This window comes from Homo sapiens, chromosome 22, assembly GCF_000001405.40.
Source record: "Homo sapiens chromosome 22, GRCh38.p14 Primary Assembly".
NCBI lineage: Eukaryota > Metazoa > Chordata > Mammalia > Primates > Hominidae > Homo > Homo sapiens.
The window spans coordinates 43,878,815-43,900,904 of record NC_000022.11 but is presented as its reverse complement, the minus strand read 5'-3'; the positions used below and the strand labels follow the sequence as shown (position 1 = coordinate 43,900,904).

General features: G+C 56.3%; 1 protein-coding gene across 4 annotated transcripts, besides 2 other annotated features; it reads left to right on the top strand.

Annotated features, from left to right (window-relative positions):
* Positions 2,266–3,465: an enhancer, noted in NCBI's record as "MED14-independent group 3 enhancer chr22:44293320-44294519 (GRCh37/hg19 assembly coordinates)". NCBI's record gives its function as "activates an origin of replication core promoter dependent on BRD2, BRD4, P300/CBP and CDK7 cofactors, and independent of MED14, by STARR-seq in HCT116 cells {active_cell/tissue: HCT116}" and the evidence as "EXISTENCE:reporter gene assay evidence [ECO:0000049][PMID:35650434]".
* PNPLA5 (patatin like domain 5, triacylglycerol lipase) lies at positions 8,892–21,227 on the top strand. 4 transcript variants are annotated; one of them, NM_138814.4, is made up of 9 exons: positions 8,892–9,217; positions 9,611–9,843; positions 11,041–11,106; positions 11,367–11,576; positions 13,254–13,314; positions 14,417–14,602; positions 16,560–16,692; positions 19,231–19,347; positions 20,020–21,227. In NM_138814.4, exons 1-9 carry the CDS (start codon positions 9,025–9,027, stop codon positions 20,108–20,110), a joined length of 1,290 nt encoding a protein of 429 aa, NP_620169.1. In that variant the 5' UTR covers positions 8,892–9,024; the 3' UTR covers positions 20,111–21,227. The 4 variants fall into 4 exon arrangements, with proteins under 4 accessions (NP_620169.1, NP_001358339.1, NP_001171146.1 ...); NM_001371410.1 differs by having other exon boundaries at positions 10,954–11,106; positions 11,410–11,576; NM_001177675.2 differs by lacking the exons at positions 9,611–9,843; positions 11,041–11,106 and having other exon boundaries at positions 11,410–11,576.
* Positions 16,952–17,682: an enhancer, noted in NCBI's record as "H3K4me1 hESC enhancer chr22:44279103-44279833 (GRCh37/hg19 assembly coordinates)". NCBI's record gives its function as "activates a minimal SCP1, AML or CMV promoter by ChIP-STARR-seq in naive H9 embryonic stem cells {active_cell/tissue: H9 hESC(naive)}" and the evidence as "EXISTENCE:reporter gene assay evidence [ECO:0000049][PMID:30033119]".
* Positions 21,228–22,090: the final 863 nt, after the last annotated feature.

Sequence of the window (22,090 nt, the reverse complement as noted above, 5' to 3'; positions counted from 1 at the left end):
ACCTGGAGCCCCCCAGGCCCACCCCTACCCATGATGGGTACCCAGAGAGTGCTGGAGACAAAGCTCCTGGGCAACTTTCTCCCTGACTGTGTTGCTGGCTGGCTCTCGGCCCTGAGAGGGCTCTGCTGGGGGCTCAGTCCCCATCCCCTCCTCCTTGTCTTCCAAGCCAGGAAGCTTTATTTTCCCCCTCCAGGAGGATGGAGCCCAGGCTTCATGGGGTGCTCCTATCTGAGCTCAGGTTCTGTGAGGGGCCTAGTGGCTTCCAGTTCCCTGTGCAGGGGAGTGTGGGGTGCGCACAGAAAGGAAAGCACGATTCTGGAACCACAGGGCAAGTGTGACTGGAGGGTTTCTGACCCCCCCGTTCTGATCCTGGCACTGACATTTCCTGGCTGCTGGGCCCTGGGTTATTTACGCAAATTTTCTGAGTCTCAGCTCCCTGTTAAGCGGGGGTGATATGCCTGCCACTCAGCAGGGGTGTCGAGGGTTAAGTGCTCTCTGGAGCTGAGTCCTCAGAAGGCACCAGGAGCTGGTGGCTTGGTTATTGTCATGATTGGCAGCTGGAGGTAGAGCAACCTGCTGTGGGAGACAGTCACCATCCCCATGTCCTGGGACGTGACGGCCACTGCTGTGCCCAGCACCTTTGGCACATCCCTCATCTCATCCTCACAATTGCTCAGGGAGAGGTGGCCCTGAACACCTCCATTTCACAGATGGGAAGACTGAAGTGCTGTCTTAGTCGGTCTTCTGCTGCTATCACAGAAAACCTGAGACTGAATCATTTATAAAGAAAAGGGACTTATTTAGCTCACGGTTCTGGAGGCTGGGAAGTTCAAGACTGAGGAGCCACATCAAGTGAGGGATGTCTGGCTGCATCATAACATGGCACAGGGAGAGGAAGGGAGAGCAAGACAGGCCGGACCCACAGGATAATGGCTGGAGTGCAATGGCGTGATCTCAGCTCACTGCAACCTCCACCTTCCAGGTTCAAGCAATTCTCCTGCCTCAGCCTCCTAAGCAGCTGGGATTACAGGCACCTGCTGCCACGCGCAGCTAATTCTGTTGTATTTTTAGTAGGGATGGGGTTTTGCCATGTCAGCCAGACTGGCCTCAGACTCCTGACCTCAGGCGATTCACCCAGCTTGGCCTCCCAAAGTGCTAGGATTACAGGTGTGAGCCACCACACCCGGCCCTGATTACCTCTTAAAGGTCCCATGTCTTAATACTGTCACAATGGCAATTAAATTTCAACCTGAGCTTTGGAGGGGATACAGTAGGCACAGGCACAGCAGGGTCAAGTGACTTGTTCAAGGTCTCTGACCTGGTCAGTGGCAGAGCTGAGATTAGAAACACGTCTGTCAGTTTGCAAAGCCCATGCTGACTGCCTGGCAACACAGCCACCCAAGACAGGCAAGGAGAGGGCTTCCGGGGCCAGGGGAAGGAGACAGCCCACCCAGAGCCCTTGTGCAATGCTTTCTGGCACAACAGGGCCTCCTGAAAAGACAGGTGGCAGCCTGGGGCACAGACTGGAGCCACTCTGCCTGCCAGTTCCCAGCTGGGTTAACCTGGGCAAGTTGCTTCATCTCCCTGGGCCTCAGTGCGAAATGCAGATAATCCAAGCACCTCACCTCCTGAGTTGTCATGAGGTAATCAGCTAATGATTAGAAAGTTACTTCACCTCCACTGGGCGCAGTGGCTCATGCCTGTAATCCCAGCACTTTGGGAGGCCAAGGCGGGCAGATCATGAGGTCAGGAAATCGAGACCATCCTGGCCAACATAGTGAAACCCCGTCCCTAATAAAAATACAAAAAAAAAAAAAATTAGCCAGGCATGGTGGCAGGTGCCTGTAGTCCCAGCTATGTGGGAGGCTGAGGCAGGAGAATCGTTTGAACCCAGGAGGTGGAGGTTGCAGTGAGCCGAGATCACACCACTGCACTCTAGCCTGGTGACAGAGCAAGACTCCATCCCCTGCCCTACAAAAAAAGAAAGTTACTTCATCTCACATTTCACTGTGCCTCTATTTCCCAATCTGTAAATCAGGGCTGACGGCAGTGGTTTGCTGAAAGGATTGAAGAAATTAACCCGGGTAAAATGCTTCCAGGGGTGCCTGGGACATTACACACTCAATCTGCATCAGCCATCATCTCTCCAGCCTGGCCCCCTCCTCCTTATCACTCCCCACACAGGGTCCTGCTTCCTTGAACAGCCAATCTGCTCTAACATCTTTGCTTATGCTGCTTCTGCTGCCTGGCAGAGGCCCTAGCCCCAGATATCCTATTTGTCATTTAGGTGTCAGCTTCAAACCCATCATCTCCAAGAAGCCTTCCTGACCACGAAATATGGAGTAGCTCCCTCTCCATGACGCCTCTGCTACAGCCTTTCTCACTAGCTGACCCATCTCTTGCTGACTTTTATTTCATTCTCTTCCTTTCATTTCATTTTGGTCGGTTTCACAGGATGGACACCCCGTGAGACTCGTGGTCAGTCTGGGTCTCAGCTGTATTCCCAGAAACCAGAACAGCCCTGAGCAGCTCTCCCAGGCCAGGTAAGTCCTCAGTTCCCCAAAAGGCCAGCTCCCAGCTCCACACCCATCACTGGGCTGTCAACAGCTGCCCAGGGCCGTGGGAAGCTGCCCTCCATCCCGATCACAAGGAGGGCCTCTGACCTAAGGCCGTGGCTGCTCCTGGCTTTGTGGCCTGGCTAGCTAGTGCCCTGGTATCTAGGGCACCATGGGCTGGAAGAACGGTTGTCAGACTTGGCAGCATCCTGGAACCGGCTGCCTGCAGTCCTGGACTGGTCAGAGGAGGAGACTGGCAGAAATTCAAAGGGGTCAGGAGACATTTGGACTTGAATGTGGGGAAAGGGGTTTGGGCGCCCAGGTCCTGGAGTGAGTGGGGTGGGAGCCGTGACTCAGACCAGGTCCTGGAGTGAGTGGGGTGGGAGCCGTGACTCAGACCAGGTCCTGGAGTGAGTGGAGTGGGAGCCATGACTCAGAGCAAGTGCTGTGCAAGCTTCTGTGGCGTCAGCTCCTGCGAGGGTGCAGGGCGGGATCAATACCAACCCGTCAAGGTGAGCTGTGTCAGGCCCTGGGACTTTGCTGCCTCTCTACAATGTCTGATCCCTCGTCTAGTCCGTAGCTTGCTCCAGGGCTGGCCCAGCTGCCTGGCCCTATGCCCTAGGGCATCAGGGAAAAAGGCGGACAGGGCACAGGGGAGATGAGGTCTTCCCAATCCTGGGGATGGAGGCAGTGAGAGGAGGAGGAGGAACTGGGAGTCTCCACGTTACCTTGACTAAGCAGTTTCCCTCTGCACTTCAGTTTCCCCTCCTGTTAGCTGGTGGCTGATCTGGGGACACCTGACCCCACATTTCACTCCTTGTTCTTATCTTACGAAGTTGACAGCAGTGCCCAGCTCCAGCATCCAGGGCCTTTGGTGCTCACCCACGCCTGTGGCTGTTCTGTGCCCACCCCCAGCACTGCTCTTACCACCCGGCCCCTGCAGTACCAACCACTCCACAGCTCCTGCCTTGCCCATCTCTGCTGGAACCCACTTAAAAAAAATTTTTTTTTGGTATTAAACAAACCTATTTAAAAATGTTAATATCAGGGCCAGGCGCAGTGGCTCACACCTTTAATCCCAGCACTTTGGGAGGCCGAGGCAGGCTGATCATCTGAGGTCAGGAGTTCGAGACCAGCCTGGCCAACATGGTGAAACCCCGTTTCTACTAAAAATACAAAAACCGTGCATGGTGGCACATGCCTGTAGTCCCACTTACTCAGGAGGCTGAGGCAGGAGAATCATTTGAACCCGGAAGACGGAGGTTGCAATGAGCTGAGATGGAGCCACTGCACTCCAGCCTAGGTAACAGAACAAGATTCTGTCCCCCGCAAAAACAAACAAACAAACAAACAAAATGAGCTGGGCATGGTGGCGTGAGCCTGTAATCCCAGCTATGCTGGAGGCTGAGACAGGAGAATCTCTTGAACCCGGGAGGCAGAGGTTGCAGTGAGCCAAGAATGTGCCATTGCACTCCAGCCTGGGTGACAGAGTGAGACTCGGTCTCAAAAAAAAAATTTTTTTTAAATAAATAAATAAATACAAATGCTAATATCAGGAAATCTTGGCAAAGGGTAGCCATGAACACTGTACTTTTCTCACAACTTTTCTGAAAATGGGAGATGATATCAAAATAAAAAGCTCCCAGGCAGGTGCTGTACCTGGGAAGAAAACGGGGGCGGTCGGGGGGGGGGGGCGGCGTAGAAGGACTCTCAAAAAAGAAAAGGTGGAGTCCAGGAGTCCAGGAGGCAGAGGAAAGGCTTGGAGAGGACGAACTAGAGCCATGTGGCTGGTGAGAGGCAGGGTCTCACTCCATTGCCCAGGCTGGTCTCAGGAGCGGCCCTTCCCCACCTGACTGTCGCCCCTCATGCTTGTGCCTCTGCTGTCCGGGAAACAAGCCACGGTGCACGTGGCCCCTAGTGCCTCCTGGAGGTCACCATGCACACATCAGCCCTCAGTCCCTATCACCAAATAATGGATGCCTGGTCACCCTTCCCCACTTGGTAACACCAAGCACCCACCTTCCCAGACCTGCCCTCAGAAAACCCCGGGTTAGTGGAAGTTGGGTAGCGCCCTGGGCCCCAGCCAGAAGCCAGTGCTGCCCCATGTCCCTCCCCCAACAGGAGCCATTTCAATCCTCCACACCCTCCCCTCACTCTCAGGGTTGCAGTGCAAACGCGTGGGTGCCCATTGTCCGCTGGGGCAGAGCAGCAAGTGCTGAGGCCCCTGGCTGATTTTGCACACTAGTCAAACCAGTTATTAGCACCTGTTTCCCAGATTGGAGGAGGGAGCTTTTCTGGGGCTGGGATTGAATCCACTTACCTAAAATTCCCCAGACTTTAGGCAGGCTCCACATTGTGACAGGAATTTAAAAAGAGTAAGTGATAACTAGCACGTACCAGGGACCCTGCTCAGTGTTTTACAGACATCAGTCATCCTTTGCAACCCCAAAGGTAACCCTATGAGGGCCGTCCTGCCACATCTCCACTTGCAGAGGGGAAACTGAGGTGTGTGACACCCAGAGGCCTGTAAGCAATCGGTGAATGTGGCCAGGCCCCAAACATGACGTGCTCGGACCACTGTTCTACTGAGTGGAGTAACGGGGGGACTGAGGCAGGTGCTCTACCTGGGGAGAAAATGCCGGGGCAGAGGGACTCATGGAAAAGAAAAGGTGGAGTCCAGGAGGCAGGGGAGGGGGCTTGGAGGGGACAAGCTAGAATCATGTGGCTGGTGGGGAGGGGCTTTTTATTTTTCCAAGATGGGGTCTCGCTTTGTTGCCCAGGTGGGAGTGCAGTACTGCAACCACGGCTCACTGCAGCCTCCAACTCCTGGGACCAGGCAACCCTCCCGCCTCAGCCTTTCAAGTAGCTGGGACCACAGCTGTGAGCCTGGCTAATTTTTATTTTTGTAGAGATGGGGTCTCGCTTTATCGTCCAGGCTCGTCTGGAACTCCTATTCTTGAGAATTTTCCCTATAGTCATAAGAAATATTGGTTTTTAACCTTATTTTTTTCTAATGTCTTTGTCTGGTTTGGTATCTGGGTAATACTGGCCTCATAGGATATGTTGGGAAATGTTCCTTCTTCCTCTATTTTTCATAAGAGTTTGTGAGGGATTCGTTGAATTTTTCTTTTTCTTTTTTTTTTTGTTGGGGGGACAGAGTCTCACTCTGTCACCCAGGCTAGAGTGCAGTGGTGAGATCTCAGCTCACTGCAAACTCTGCTTCCTGGCTCAAGTGATTTGCCTGCCTCAGCCTCCCGAGTAGCTGGGATTACAGGCGCACACCACCACACCTGGCCAATTTTTGTATTTTTAGTAGAGACGGGGTTTCGCCATGTTGGCTGGCTGGTCTTGAACTCCCGACCTCAGGTGATCCGCCCGCCTCGGCCTCCCAAAGGGCGGGGAGAATAGATGTGAGCCACCCTGCCCAGCCCAAGGCTTATTTTTTAAGCTTTATGACATTCACATGGTCAAGTACGTGGATTGTGAATGCAATCACATTCACATGGGGAAGTTTTTTGCGGGTAAACAACCATGTAATCAGAGCGACCTACGAAGCATTTCCAGCATCCAAGAAGCCCCCAAGCCCCTCCCAGTCACCTCTTCCTGTAGCAGGGAGTTTGGGAGACTAAGAATGTAAGTGCAGGGCCCTAGGACGGACCCACCTGTTGCCCCCTATTGCCTTGAAGAACCTGCAAGGGGCCTCCAGTGCTCTGTGGAAGCAAACCTCACTTCCTTTTGGAGACACTACCGTGCAAGACTGGCCTCAGGGTGGCCCAGTACGTTTGGTTATGCTTGCTTTGGATTTAGGGAGGTATAATAGAATTAGCATTATTTCCAAGAATGGGAAGCCCAGAGGCCTGGACAATATGGCAAAGGACCGGGTGGACCAGGTGCATCTTCCTTGACACCAGCTCGCCCACAACTGTCCTGTGGATGGCCAGGTCAGGCAGACACCGAGAGGGTAGGAGACTTGCTGAGGGTCACACAGCCAGCAAGCCTGAACTCCCGACATCTTCCCTTGCAGGCTCCTGGCCTTCCTGCAACCTCCCAAGCCACCCCAGAAGTGAGCCTGCCTTGGTTCAGCTGCTGGTTCCAGGGCAGCTCCCTGAGAAGATGGTGCTGCTGGGGAAGGCCGTGCTTCTGGACACTTTCTGCTAGACTTGCCACCAGCCCCATCATTCTGGTGATGCCACCAGCCAGACTGTTTTCCCACTTGATGTTGACCAGTCACCCACCCTGAGCTCTGTGCTGCCTGCTGTCTCTGGGGGGCCTCAGACAGCCCACACCAAAATGCAAGACCCAATTCCTGAAGCATCAAGCACGCAGAAACTCAGCCTGGCTCCAGGCCTTACGCTTCCTCCCACAGCCCCGCACCACCTGCCCTCACCGCCATGACTGCTCTCTCCCGCTGGCTGGCTTCTCACTCCTCCCTACTCCTCCCTGCCTGGTGCCTTTGCTCAAACTCTTCCCTCTGTGCCCATCTCCCTTTCTCCCCGTGGTGAACCCTTGATCGACCTCCAAGGTCCTGCTCAAACCTTGCTTTTTCTCCGAAACCTCCGGAACATGTCCCTGCTGAACTCCCAGCCCCTGAACTCCTCCCTTCCTGAACTCACACTGGTGGTCCACTGTTCCAGGGAGGCTCAGTCTGCCTCCGGCACAGTCACAACTGTGGGTGAAATGTTCCTGGCTGTGCCTGCTGTGACCTGGTTCCCTCCTGGAGCAGAGTCAGCACATGGCTTCTAATTACCCCCTGCAGCTGGGGCTGGGTCCTTCCCGCAATGGAGATAGCCTGGGGTACCTGCCACCAGGTGGGTGAGTCTGTGCAGGCCCATGGTCTTTGAGGCAAGGATGCCGCCCCTGGTGTGGGATCAGCAAAGCCCGGTACCGCCCACCTCTGTGGGAGGGGAGGCTGGGCTGGCCTGTCCCAGGGTGCCTTCTGCACCCAGTGCCCATGGGCAAGCTGCCCTTCACTCCCAGGTCAAGGAAGAGGTAGGTGTGAGGCTAAGAGAAGCAGATCCTCCCACCTCTTCCTCCGAAAATGACCCACCCAGGCCATGGGCTGAGCATTCAGTCCACAAACACTGTGCCACACTTCTTCCAGGCACAGATGGAGGACCTGGCCCTCAAGGAGCTCACATGAGAAGGCACTGATATGTGCCATGTGATTAAAGCAGTAACACAGGGATGGGCGCAGTGGCTCCTGCCTGTAATCCCAGCACTTTGGGAGGCTGAGGTGGGCAGATCATCTGAGGCCAGGAGTTCGAGACCAGCCTGAGCAGCATGGTGAAACCCTGTCTCTACCGAAAATAACAAAAATTAGCTGGGCGTGGTGGTGCGTGCCTGTAGTCCCAGCTACTTGGGAGGCTGAGGCAGGATAATTGCTTGAACCTGGGAGGTGGTGGTTGCAGTAAGCCGAGATTGTGCCACTGCACCCCAGCCTGGGTGACAGAGTGAGACTCTGCCTCAAAATTAAATAAATAAATAAATAACATAGCGGTTGCCATTGATTGTGCGCCACTTGATTAAAACAATCACCGTAGTAACCATTGTTTGTGTGCTTATCCAGTGCCGGGCGCTATTCCAAACACGTTACTTGCATTAACTCTAATCCTTACCGGTCCTATGGAGTAAGTAATGTTATTATCCCCACTTGATGGATGAGAAAACTGAGGCACAGATCAGTTAAATTATCCAGGGTCACCAGCCAAGACATTCTGGAGCCAGAATTGGAGCCCAGACAGCCCTAATCACTACAAACCCAAGTTCTTGGAGCTTTGCAGTTTATAAAGCACTTTCCAATGGATTGATTAGGGGAGGAGGGAGGAGGTGGGATGTTTGAGCAGGCTGTAGTGGTAGGTGAGGCTTGGAGAGCGGGTGAGCCAGGGGAAGGTGCAGTGGTGCTGGCTGGAGCGGAGGCTGGCCCCGAGACCTCTCTTTCCCTCAAGTCCCTCCCTGGAACCAGCACAGCTGCGGACTTAAGCCTGGTTTGACCCCAAAGACCAGGTGTCCTGGGTCCGACTCTGCCACTTCCTGGCTGTCACCATCCTGGGCTGCGCCTCAGTTGCCTCATTTGCGTAATGAGGACTGGAATAACATCTGCCCAGACTACCAGAGATCAGGCAAGATTTGGTCCCACTCCCCTGCCGTGTCACCCAGAAATCTATGACCCGATGCGGATCCGGGGCGGGCGCGTGGGGGCGGCGCCAGCGTATACACAGCGCGCGGGCACTTCTGGGGCACACCTGGCGCACAACTGGAGTGGGGGCTGATCGCGACCCGGGGACTTCATTGGCTGGGGCGCAGGTGACGCAGCCCGGGGGCGGCGCAGGGAGCACCAGCACCAGCCCCAGCCCGGCTCCCTCCAGAGCCCACATTTGGGCCCAGCCCCGTCCAAGGCTGCATCCCGGCCCTATCCCGGGTCACGGAGTGACCCTTCCTCGTCCCGATCACCCCGCCCGGTCCACCCGCCATGGGCTTCTTAGAGGAGGAGGGCAGATGGAACCTGTCCTTCTCCGGCGCCGGCTACCTGGGCGCCCACCACGTGGGCGCCACCGAATGCCTGCGCCAGCGAGCCCCGCGCCTCCTCCAGGGCGCCCGCCGCATCTACGGTTCCTCGTCTGGGGCGCTCAACGCAGTCAGCATCGTCTGCGGCAAGTCGGTCGGTGAGTCCCGGACCGCGGGGGCGAAAAGGGGCGGGGACAGCTTAATGAAAGCGGATCGAGCCCAGAGACGCTGGTGCCTGGCGCTGTGCTCTGCGCCCTCTACCCCCGGCACAGCCTCATTTAATCCCATGAGAACACCGAGTGCTGGGGACTAGGTGACCCCCATTTGCAGAGGAGGGATCGTGGCTCAGAGCCAGAAACTCTGTTTCCCAGGTCGGCGGGGCAAAAAGTGAAAAGGTGAACGGATCATTTGAATCCGGGGCCGAGCCCAGAAATTCTGAGCTGGAGTGGGGAGGACCCCGCTCCCACTGCACCTAGGAGGGCAGTGGGGGTGTGGAGGGACTGGCAGGATCCCTGGGCGCTGAGGTCTCCCTTTCCCTGCCCCCACTGCAGACTTCTGCTGCTCCCACCTCCTGGGCATGGTTGGGCAGTTGGAGCGGCTGAGCCTAAGCATCCTGCACCCGGCCTACGCGCCCATCGAGCACGTCAAGCAGCAGCTGCAGGATGCTCTGCCCCCCGACGCCCACGTCCTGGCCTCCCAGCGGCTGGGCATTTCGCTGACCCGCTGGCCTGACGGACGCAACTTCTTGGTCACTGACTTCGCCACCTGCGATGAGCTCATCCAGGTGTGGGGCGGGGGGTGCCCAGGGCTTGGCTGGTGGGCGGGCTCCATCTAGTCCAGAGTGACATCCAGGTACTTCCCCGTCAGACGTTTCTGCAGGGGCGGAAGGAGGGAGGGCGGGTGGACCTGTTTGTAGGTGAGGAAACTGAGGCCCAGAGAGGGTCGGCAGGGTGGGTCTGGAGACTTTCCAGGTTGCTGCACACAGAAGGGTCTGGCTGGGGCCCGGCAGAGTCAGGCTGCTGAGTCAGGGCCCCCACAGGGACTGCTCTTTCCAGAGGGCAGCTGGCTAGCCCCAGCCTCCACCCCACTCCATCCTCCCGCCGCTTTTTGGCGGTGGGTTGACATTTATTGAACACCTATTATGTGCCAGTCACTATTCTAGGCACTGTGACTGTAACAGGGAGCAAAACAGACAGAAACCCTTGCCTTCCTGGGGCTTCTATGCTCAGTGGTTCTGGGGGGCAGGCGGTATCGATAATGAACTCATCTCCAAGTAAGGAGGTAAGGAACCATCCAGTATTGAAATGAAATAGGATGTCTAAAAAAGATGCTTCACATACACCCTGACACTATTATTTGCCAATAGTGTGTACGCGCACGCTCAAGTGCAGGCACACAGTGTGACAACCAAAAATGTCTCTGACATTGTTAGGTGTCCTGTAGGGGAGAAAATCACTCCTAGTTGAGAACCACCAACCCAGAGCTTGCAAACTTTTGAATATAGGACTTTGTCTCATGGAACCCTTGGAAACGTCCCAACTCTCTCTGGGAGGTGCAGAACCCATCCTGGCCCTGACCAGATGGAGATGCAGGTGACAGTTTTGTTCCCACAGACTGATAACAGTCACGGCAGCTAATGTGTACTGAGCACCTACTATGTGCCAGGCCCCATCCCAACTGCTACACAGGCAAGGAGTCTGGGCCACTCTTTGGGGTCCCCGGCTGGCTTCCTCAGGAGCCTGCACCTGGCCTCCTTCCCTGCACACCCACAGAAAGAGGAGGTGGGTGTCAAGACAGAGGTGCTCCAATCCCTGCTTCCCTTGGAGAGCTTGGCTGGGAGGTGATGCCTCAGCTCCCTCATCTGGACGTGGGACTGATGACACCTCCTTTGCAGGCTGTTGGGATTAGAAACCGTGCCTAGGAAGGTTCTGAATGCAAGAAGCATGCACAGTTGTGTTCCTGCTGACTCTTCTCTTCCTAGGCCTTGGTCTGCACCTTATACTTTCCTTTCTACTGCGGGCTGATCCCCCCCGAGTTCAGAGGGGAGGTGAGTGCACTCTGGAACCCCGTTCTGTGCTCTGGGCAGCCTGGGGTGCACACCGTGGAGAGGTGCTTGGGTGGAGGAAACCAGCGCTCCTTGAGCACCTACTGTGTGCCAGGCCCTCCCCCTGCTCCTGGGGGGCGTTCAGCCTCCTGGGCTGGAGTGGCCCTGGTGACTCAGGGACAGCTGGAGGGTCACCGGCTGCAGCCAGTGTGGGAGGCCCTCTGAGAGGGCAGCACCACCCACCTGCTCCCCACAAATTGCAGCGCTACATCGATGGGGCTCTGAGCAACAACTTGCCCTTTGCAGACTGCCCCTCCACCATCACGGTGTCGCCCTTCCATGGGACAGTGGACATCTGCCCCCAGAGCACCTCCCCCAACCTGCATGAGCTGAACGTCTTCAACTTCAGCTTCCAAATCTCCACTGAGAACTTCTTCCTGGGGCTCATATGTCTCATACCCCCCAGCCTCGAGGTAGGTCTGGCCCTGTGATGGTGTTAGAGGCTTGGCCAAGGTCAAGGGCCCCGTGAGTCAGACTCTGTGTGCTCCTAACCCCCACTGCCCCCCGAGCCTGAAGGCAGTTACAACACATGTCCCGAGTCTCACAGCCAAACACCTGAATCCTAAGCTTGGGGTTCAGTTGTGTCCTTACTGTTCTTGCTGCCCTGAGCCAGTGATGAATGAGGACTGGCCCCATGTCAATGGGACACACTCACGCCAACTCTGCTTAGCTGGCCTTTGAGCAGGGCCTTTGCCTGTGCTCCTCTGGGCCAGGGTCTGTAGGCAGGTACCGTTATCATTTCCATTTCTCAGGGGAGGATGCTATGGTTCAGAGAGGTTAAGCAACTTGTTCAAAGTCACACAGACTGGAAGCAGCAAAACCAGGATTCAGACCTAGAGCTGGCTCAGGCCCATGCTCTTGACCACCGTCCTTGACTGTGGCCAAATTGACCATCCATTGTAGAGGCAAGGCACAAATGCAAAGAAAAAAATGAAGGAAGCGTTTTTTTACCCCTTGGTATTTCTGGAAAACAGATAATTTGACAACTATTGAAATATACTCCTCCTGGCCGGGTGTGGTGGCTCATGCCTATAATCCCAGCACTTTGGGAGGCCAAGGCTGGCAGATCACTTAAGGTCAGGAGTTTAAGACCAACCTGGCCAATATGGTGAAACCCTGTGTCTACTAAAAATACAAAAATTAGCTGGGCATGGTGGCGCATGCCTGTAATTCCAGCTACTCAGGAAGCTGAAGCAAGAGAATTGCTTGAACCTGGGAGGTGGAGATTGCAGTGAGCCGAGATAGTGCCATTACACTCTAGCCTGGGTGACAGAGTGAGACTCCATCTCAAAAAAAAAAAAAAAAAAAAAAAAAAGAAGGAAAGAAAGAAACACACACACACACACACACACACACACACACACACACACTCCTCTGCCCCATCCACATCCTGGCTCTTCCTTGTCCCTTCTACCTCTCAGGTTTGTGTAGTGCTTTCTAAGTCACGAGACAAAGTCATGTTCATTTACTCCGGTACTCCCCACACCCCTGGGCGGGCAGGAAACCCCAGCCCCATTTTCTAGATAAGGAAGCTGAGGCACTCAGAGAGTTGGCACTGCCATGCTGAAGTCTCACAGCAAGGATGTGAGGGGGACAGCACCCTTTGCCACCAGTGGGACTTTAATCAGACAGGCAAGTGGGGCTCCTGGTTCCTCAGCCCACCTCAGTCTGGTACTGGAAGTAAACATCGAAGGGGCAAAGGGAACCCCCATCCACTGCCCTACAAGGGGCCAGACAAAGTCCCAGCCATCCCAGGCCTTGTTATCCCATTTTCCAGAGACAGAAACTGAGGCAAGAGAGGGGAGGGGCTGGGGCAAGAGCAGCCAGGGTGTCTCAGGGGGGAGATGCAATGGTCCTGCAGGGACAGAACTAGCCAAGCAGATCTGTTCTGCCTGCAGGCCTCTGGCCCCTCCTGCCCAGTGCTAAGGTCCTGCCCAGGCTCCTGCCCTGAGCCCTGTTGAATGGTCACTTGGGGAGAATAGGCTGGGCTGGGACTATTTCCAGTTGAAGATAAGTCTCTGGCCTGTGACATCCACTCGAGGGGTAGGTCCAGGCCTTGCCCATCTCACCCTTGCCCTGTGTGTTGGCAGGTAGTGGCCGACAACTGCAGACAAGGCTACCTGGATGCCCTGAGGTTCCTGGAGAGACGTGGTAGGTGGCAGTCCCACAGTGGCTGGGGATCATGTCCCACATGGTGCCAGGTAGACCCTGCCTCTTGGGCCTTTGAGCTGCTAGGGACATGGGCTAACTCAGTCTCTTCCTCATCATCTGCTCTGTGCTGGACCTGAGCTGAGTACTGGGGACTCAGAGAAGAATCACATACAAGTTCCACTGTTGAGCAGCCCGCAGCCTGGTACAGGGGGACAGACTCAGAGAGAGACAACCCAGGGAGATGGGTGTAGTGACAGAGGGATGCTCAAGGCTGTGGGAGTCCAGAGGAGGCATTGGACTCAGCCTGGGGGTTGGGGGTAGGCAAGGAGGGCTTCCTGGAGGCAGTGACAGATAAGCTGGGTTTTGACTAGTTATGAAGACACCAGCAAAATTGAAGATTCCAGCAAAAGAAGAGGGCATTCTAGGCAGAGGGAAAAACAAGAGAGAAGGGACAGAGGCAGGCACCTTGAGGGCACATAACTCAATATGGCAGGAGGGGTGTGTGTGTGTGTGTGTGTGTTCATGGGGCAGTGGGTGTGCCAGAGAGGTCTGGGCTGGAGAGCCTGAACATCATCCACAGGACAGAGCTCTTCAAATTGGTGCAATAGACATTCAGACACAGGCCACCTGGCTCCAGAACTCATGTGCTCAAGTCCTACGTTACAACCAAAAACACACAATCAGGAGGCATTTGGCGAGCGCTTAATATGTGCCCAGACGTGAGCTTAAGCTTTATGTATTTATCTTGTTTAATTCTCAGAGTAACTGTATAAAGCAGGTCTTACTTTTCCTTTTTTACAGAGAGGGAAACTGAGGCAAAGGGCATTGGGTCACATAGCTTGCAGGTGGTGGAGCCAGAATTCGAACTCTGGATTGTGTCTTTGGGGTCTGGGCTCTGATGAGCCACTCGAAAGTGGGCAGGGAGCAGGGCAGAGCAGGGCCAGGGGAAGGCAGAAGGGAGTCATCCGGAATAAGCTGTGGGTCCGTCCCACAGCACAGTGGATCCCCAGAACTGGGTTTGGGCTCTGAGGGATGTGGGCAGCATGGGGCGCCTTGGGGAGGCTCAGATGCTTGACTTATCCTCTCCCTTCCCCTGACCCAGGACTCACCAAGGAACCAGTGCTATGGACGCTGGTGTCTAAGGAACCCCCAGCCCCGGCTGACGGAAACTGGGATGCTGGCTGTGACCAACGCTGGAAGGGGGGCCTGTCTCTCAACTGGAAAGTGCCCCATGTGCAAGTCAAGGATGTACCCAACTTTGAGCAGCTCTCACCAGAGCTGGAGGCTGGTAGGGACTCTACCTGCATTTGCTCACCTACCAGGGCCCTGCACTCAGGGGCCCGGGCTCAGGGACCCTGCCTTGAAGGCACTCGTGGTCTGGAAGAGGACAGGACTCATTTACTGAGCACCTACTAAATGCCAAGTGTGGTACTATGGGCTTTTCACATGTGGCATCGTTCATTCTTCCCCACAACCCTGGGCCTAGGCATTATTCGTACCCACTTCACTGATGAGGAAACCAAACCTCAGAGAAAGGAAGGGACTCACCAAGGGCTCAGAGCCTGCAACTAGGGGATTTGAACCCAAGCCTGTGCCTGCGAAAGCCAGGTCTTTGCCCACTGCCCCGGAAAGGGCGGGAGTGTTGACAGACATAGGAGAGGCACACACAGAGGGTTCTGGATTCCCCAGATGAAAATGAACTCATTTCATCCTTCCAACAACCATCTGAGGATAGTACAGAATTGTTCTCATTGTACAGATGAGGAAACCATAGCACAGAGAAGTTAAGCGACTTGCCCAAGGTCACACAGTAGCAAATGGCAGAACTAGGGGTTCTACTCGGAACCATTTAGTCTGCCCGCCCGCTGTGTGACTAAATGTCACAACTGCAACAACAGGAAAGTACAGAGTCCCACAGGCACATGTAACGATGGTGGGGGGTGACTTTGAGCAGCATCTAAGTGAAGCTGGAAAAGAGATGTTGGCCAGGCCAAGAGGCAGAAGAGCATCGGGGAGAGGGCATGGCACGTGCAAAGGTCCTGGGGTTGGTGAGGGACAGCCAGGAGGTCCCTGTGGCTGCGGCATGAGGGACAGGCAGCAGAGGTGAGCTTGGGAGGCTGGCAGGGTGGGCAGGTGGTCTCAAAAGCTGTGGGAGGAGCAAGTGAGGTGGGCGGGAGGGGGTGGTGGACCCAGCTGGGTGGGAAGAGGCTGAAGGGGTGGGAGGCTGGGAGGAGAGGGATGGCGGTCGAGGCCAGATCAGGGAGAGTGGGGTGGGCAAGGGGATGAGGAAGGGGGCCCCTTTCCATGCCGGAGACCACACGAGGACGTGCAGAAATGGGCGGGGACCTGTGCGGAACCCCTGAGGTCCAAGCTTGGGATTCTGGAACCCGGCAGTGTACCTGTAGCCACACGGGGGCACCAGAGAGCTGCCTCGGGTGGAGCACCAACTCCTGGGCGCTGCGCCCTCGCCATTTGGGAAGGGAATTGTGAATCTCATCTCTAATCCTCACCTGCCTGCCCAGGGAGGAATGTCCTGCTGGGATCCCCAGTTTATGGAGAAGGAAGCTAGGACTCGTCCTAGGACACTCGGCAGGTGGATGTGGAGCAGGGTCTCTGGCCTGTGCTATCTGTGAATCCTTGTAATCCTCCGTCTCCAGAGGGCAGTGGCCAGAGTGGACGTGGTGGCCTGAGCTGTGGCCTGGGCTGTGTCTGGAGGCTGGGATTTGGGCTCCGGCTCTGTCCCAGCCCAGATGCTGGTCCCTTCCACTCTGGTCAGGTCAGTGAATAGAGCACCCAGGAAATGGTTGCTGCGGTCATAGTTGTGGCTGTGGTTATTAATAACACTGTCGTGTTACTGTTATGAGAGAGTGTGGTGAGAGCATCTGTCCCAGCCTAGCAGGCCACAGACTTTCTAGAGGGGCAGAAGAGGTAGAAACAACTCAGGAGCCTGAGAGTCCTCAAGTCCATCCTGGCCCTGCCACTTCCTGTTGATGGTCCTTAGGCAAGTCACTTCTCCACTCTGAACCTCAGTCTCCTCATCTACGAGAGGGCATACACCCCTTGTCTCACGGACAACGATGAGCGCAGAGCTACCTGCTGGCCTGTGGTGGGGGCTTGCTCAGTGTTGCTTCTTCATCTGCAGAAGGTGGAGGGGGTGCAGTCTCTTACTGTGTGAAATGGGGGGGCTCAGGTTGCTGGCCCACAGACTTCAGGTGGGCAGGGCCATGCCAGGGCTTCTCTTGCAGCACTGAAGAAAGCATGTACGAGGGATCCCAGCCGGTGGGCCCGCTTCTGGCACTCGGGGCCTGGACAGGTGCTGACGTACCTGCTGCTACCCTGCACACTGCCCTTCGAGTACATCTACTTCCGCAGCAGAAGGTAAGGCTCGGCCAGGGGGCCTGGGAAGGGCCTGGCTTGTGGCGGAGACTGGTGCCCATGGCAGGAGGGGCGGCTGGCACACTGGGTGGGTAGGGCTCGGCGGGGTGGGGGGAGCCCGGCTGGTGTCCCCACACTGTGTGGTGTTGACTGCATGACTCAGAGCCTCTGTGATCTCCTCTGCAAAATGAGACTGGTGGAGAAGTGGCATGGTGGGTAGGATTGGAAGTCGGGGGCTTCCTGGTCGGCCTCCTGGGCCCTACACTGTCTCCGTGACCTTTGACCATTGCTCCACCCATCAGAATCTCAGGTTGGCTGTGTGGCTGGGTCTGAGTCTCTTGACCTCTCTGGGCTACAGGTTTCTTTTCTCTTCTCTTTTCTTTCTTTTCTTTTCTTTTTTTTTTTCTGACAGAGTCTCACTCTATTGCCCAGGCTGGAGTGCAATGGCATGATCTTGGCTCACTGCAACCTCTGCCTCCCAGGTTCAAGCGATTCTCCTGCCTCAGCCTCCTAAGTAGCTGGGACCACAGGTGCCCACCGCCACGCCCGGCTAATTGTTTTGTATTTTAGTAGAGGCAGGATTTCACCTTGTTGCCCAGGCTGGTGGCAAACTCCTGAGCTCAGGCAATCCGCCCGCCTCGCCCTCCCAAAGTGCTGGGATGACAGGCATGAGCCACCGCTACAGGTTCCTTTTCTGTAAAACAAGCCCCTTCCAAGCCAGGCCGGCTGTGGTTAGGCTCTCAGTAACATTCTGACTTGCTGGTTAATGTGCCCGTCTGCATCAGTTGTTCATTCATCCCACCAGCAGTTGCTGAGGACCTCTCAGGGGCCAAGGCCTGGCTGGGGGCCATGGAAGCAGCCCCGACGCAGACCCAGCTCCTGGCCTGGTGGAGCTCACGACCTACAAATTATCACACACTCACCTGTAACTACAGCGCCACCTAGAGGTTCCCTGGGAGAGGTCTACACTGGCTTCCAGCTGCACAGCTCAATCTAGGGACTCTCTGGCCAGGGAAGGCTGCCCGGAGGAGATGACTCTTAGGCTATAATCTGAAGGATGAGTCAGCGTCCACCAGGCAAAGAGGACAAGGAGAATGTTCTCGGCAGATGGAACAGCATGTGCAAAGATCCAGAGGCAGGAGGGAGAAAGGCCCATTCGAGGAGCAGGAAGGGAGGCCAGTAAAGCTGGAGCCTCAGGGAGTGTGCCGTACACGACGCAGGGGAGGCTGGTGGGGCAGACGCACTGAGCTCTGGAGCCAGCTGAGCGTGGTCTTTGTCTGGAGAGTGGTGGAAAGGCTGGGAAGGGTTTAAGCAGGGAGGTGTCATGGGGGGACCTGTATTTTCAAAAATTCTCTGGAAGAAGGTCTATGATGGTGAACCACAGGTCTCTGTCCTGCTCAATGTTGAGTTAATGACTGGGTCAGCCCTGCTGTTTAAATTGCCAGTGGCCCAAACCCAGGAGAGAGCTTTCTACCGACAGATTCTCCTCACGCTGAGCTGTTTACGGAAACCACAAGTTGAAATCCAAAAGTATAAATGTAAAGTCCAGTTTTCAGTTAAAAAAAGAAACTCATTGTGTGAGCCCCAAAGGGGAGCCTGCCCAGACCACAGGGAAGTTCACTCTTGGCATATTTCACAATACATATGTTCAACACATAGGTTGCATTAATAGAGGCAGGAGGTCCAGAGCAAGGGAGGTGACAGTCCAGCTTATGTCTTGCCGTCACACCACACTCTCTGGACTGCATGCCTAGTTTGAGGTCTGGTGTAGGGGCCCCTCCAAGGGTGCTGTGGTGCAGGTTGAGGCCCTGCAGTGGCCAGTGTCTGAGGTGTCCGGCCAGGGCTTTCTCAGGCCTGGCCCCACAGGGCTGTGGCTCTGCAGACAGACTCATGCTGTCTCTCCTCTGTGCTGGGATAACACGCAGTTCCAAGGACCCTGAATCTGGGGCTGGCTCCATCATGGAGGCAGTGGGGAACCACGGGGACATCTTGAGCAAGAGGGGGCTCTGTCAGCTGTTTTCGGAGGGCCAGCAGCTTCTGAGAGGAGAGTGGACGAAGGGGCATGGGGTAGGGAGGGCAGGGGCTAGCTGGGAGAGAAGAGAGAGAAATGGACGGCGATAAGGAGGACATTAGGAACTATGGGTGAGGTGACTGTCCTCATTTGACAGGTTCCCTGACCTGTGCAGGTCACCCAGCTGATGGGCAGGGAGGCTGGGCTGTAGCCTCAAGCCAGCCTGACCCCAAAGGTCCACCCTCTCCCTCCCTGCGCTTCCTACTTGTTTCCTCTGGAGTCAAGGAACCTAAGGCCTGGCCACCTCTGCCAAGTTCAAAGTCCATTTTGGATCTTTCCAACCCTGCAGGTGTCCCTGTGGCTCTGACCTGCTCTGCAACAGTGGCCAACGCTGCTGGCCCTTCTTCCCTAACCTGGGCAGCCCTCAGGAGCAGGGCTCCCGGCTGTGCTCTGGGCCTATGGGGAGGGTGGGCTTGGTGGGGCCACACCCCAGGCTCACCTGGGCAAAGCTGACCTGCCCCTTCCTCCAGGTTGGTGGTGTGGCTGCCCGATGTGCCGGCGGACTTGTGGTGGATGCAGGGCCTGCTGAGGAACATGGCCCTCGAGGTTTTCTCCAGGACCAAGGCCCAGCTCCTTGGGCCCATCAGGTGAGGTGGGCAGAGGGCAGGGATGGAGAGGGGGTGGCTGTGCTGGGGGGAACGCACCAGCTGCTTCCCTGGACCCTGGGTAGGCCGGCCATGCCATCTGCCTGCCCACCTGCTTACCTGCGTCCCTCTGGCCTACTCATGCAGCCATTGGCACGTGTGTTGGTCACTGCTGTGCGCCCGACCTGTGCTAGACGCTCTATGACAGTCACCTTGGTCAGTCTGCATGACCTGCCAGGTGCAGTCACTGGGCCACCCATGGGACAGGTGCCTCTTGCGGCTTCACCAGCTCCCTGCCAGTCCTCCTGCCATTGTTCCAGACGTCCCCACGTGACCTTGGACGAGGCTGGCCCTGTGTGTGGTCTGGCCTGCAGTGGCCTGGTCCCTCTTCTCTGACCAGCCCTCCAGACTTGGGGGGTCCTGTGTGGCCCTCCCCCACCCACTCGACAGTTATCTGTTTAGCAGGGACATCAGTGCAGTTCTCTGGGGAGTGGCCATCCCAGGACCTCCCTGACACTTCCAGCTCAGCCACACTGAGGTCCACATGTCCTCCCTCAGAGCAGGATTTGGGGGAAGAGTGACCTGGGTTCACTGTGGCTGCGCCTGCACCCACGTGGTTTCACCTACCCTTCCCGAGCCCCAGGCATTTACCCGTGGCTTCTCCTCCCTCCACAGCCCTCCGGCCACTCGCGTCCTGGAAACAAGCCCCCTCCAACCCCAGATAGCTCCTCATAGAGAGGAGCTCGGGCCCACCCACCAGGCCTGAGGGGGCCGAGCAGGGCCAGCCCAGTGACTGGTGTCCCTTGATTCCTGCTCTGGCCTTTGTCCTGTGTGCCCACATCTGCCCCAGCGGGAAGAGGCCCTGCCAATCTCCGTGGAGACCCTGCAGCTTGGAGCCCGTTCCTTGGGGCGCAGCCTGTCAGCATGTCCCCGGTCACTGTGTACCCAGGTCACCTGCCCTCCCTCTTGCCCCGTCTCATCAGGGAGAGAAAGGAGGACAGCCACAGAGACACATGTCTTACTTTCAGAATTTCCACGGGGGGACTAGGAGGGCAGCATTGCTGGGGAGAGGGGCTCCTGTTCTGCCGTGGAGCTGCCCACGGAGCACCTCACAGAAGATTGAGAAAGTGCCTGATGCCCGCGTCAGAGACCAGAGGAGCCAACTGAGATGATGGGGTGGGGGTGCTCCCCCCAGACTTTCTCAGTCCTGCAGCGGCCCTTGGGGGTGACCCCCGGCATCTACCCCACTCAGGAAACCTTGACTTCTGAATTCCTATCAGGTCCAGAGGGTGGAAGGCCCTGGCAGGAAGCAGGAGGAGGAGGAGAGGGGGGTCCAGGTCTTTTCAGGATCCCAGCTGTGGGTGCTTCTGTTGGGCCCAGTGGCCCCTGCTATCCCCACAGCCTCATTCCTGCAGAAGGTTTGTGACGTAGCTGTGCCTGTACCTGGGGCAGAGAGGATGCCAGGGACACCAGGCCTCTGGCCTCTCCACGAGTCACTGCTCTCCCCATTGGCAGCACGGGACCCATGCTGTGCCCCCGGCCAGGCCCTGAGGAAATGCTCAGCCTCAGTGGAGATGGGGAGGTTAGAGAGATGGAGGCGTGAGTGAGAACGGGAAGCAAAGGAATACACGTGGGAACTAAAGAGAAAAATGACCAGCCTGGGCAGCATAGCAAGACCCTGTCTCTAAAAAAAATAATAAAAACTTAGCTGGGCATGGTGGTGCATGCCTGTGGTCCTGGCTACTTGGGAGGCTGAGGATGGAGGATCATTTGAGCCCAGGAGGTCGAGGCTGCAGTGAACCGTGATCACGCCACTGCACCCCAGCCCAGGCAACAAAGTGAGCCCCTGTCTCTAAATAAATAAAGAGACAATAAGCCACTCATTCATTCTTTCATTCATTTATCAGCTTATGCTTAGTGAGTTATAGGCCCTGGAGACACTGCCTTGAAGAAACCTTACATTCTGGTGGGCGTGCGGGAGCAGATGCTGAACAACAAACGGGAAAATGTAAATATGAGATTTTTCCAGGAGTGGTGGGGCCGTGAAGAAAACAAGATCGTGTGAGAGTGAGGCAGGGTGGGGGTGAGAGCAACATTGGCCCGGGTGGCCCAGGAAGGCCTTCCTGAGGTGACAACTGAGCTGAGACTGAGGATGAGAGGCTGGGTTTTGCAGGTGAAGGCAATGGCAGGTGCAAAGGCCCTGGGGTGAGACTGAAGGAGGGAAGGGCCGGCAGTGGGTGGGGGTCGGGGGGAGCAGGGCAGGCAGGGGCTGGGTCAGGAGGGCACTGTTGGGGCATGGCGAGGAGTTTGGTTTTGGGGAGCAAATGTGAGAAAAGGGAGCAAGCAGAGGAAAGGAGGGCCCAGTGCTGCAGTGGGATTGGAAAAGGAGGAGGAAGGGGCAGACAGTGAGCATGCAGGAGGCTGTCCCCTTCCCTCCAGGACCCCCTGGGTCTGAGCAGGACTCTGCCCCTCTGGCCATCTCCTGGGTGGGGGCAGGTACGGACGCTGTCCCTGCAGCAGGAAAAGGCTGTCCCACTTGGAGCCAGGTGGTCCGCGGCGGCTCCCACAACACTGTCTGCAGAGCTGGAATGCTCTATGCACTGCCCCCACCCTCAGCAGCTGGGTTCGGGATTTCCTCCCCCAGTGCAGAGGGGAGACCTGGCCACCTGGGTCACCAGGTGAAGGATTTAGAGGCCTTTAGGAACATTCTTGCTCCCTGTCCTTTGTCCCTTGTCACGGACACAGG

Coding starts and splice junctions, on each gene's coding strand:
- PNPLA5 (NM_138814.4), top strand. CDS start 9,025: ATGGGCTTCTTAGAGGAGGAGGGCAGATGGAACCTGTCCTTCTCCGGC. Junction 9,218..9,610: donor CGTCTGCGGCAAGTCGGTCG/GTGAGTCCCGGA, acceptor CCCCCACTGCAG/ACTTCTGCTGCTCCCACCTC. Junction 14,603..16,559: donor CTCACCAGAGCTGGAGGCTG/GTAGGGACTCTA, acceptor CTTCTCTTGCAG/CACTGAAGAAAGCATGTACG.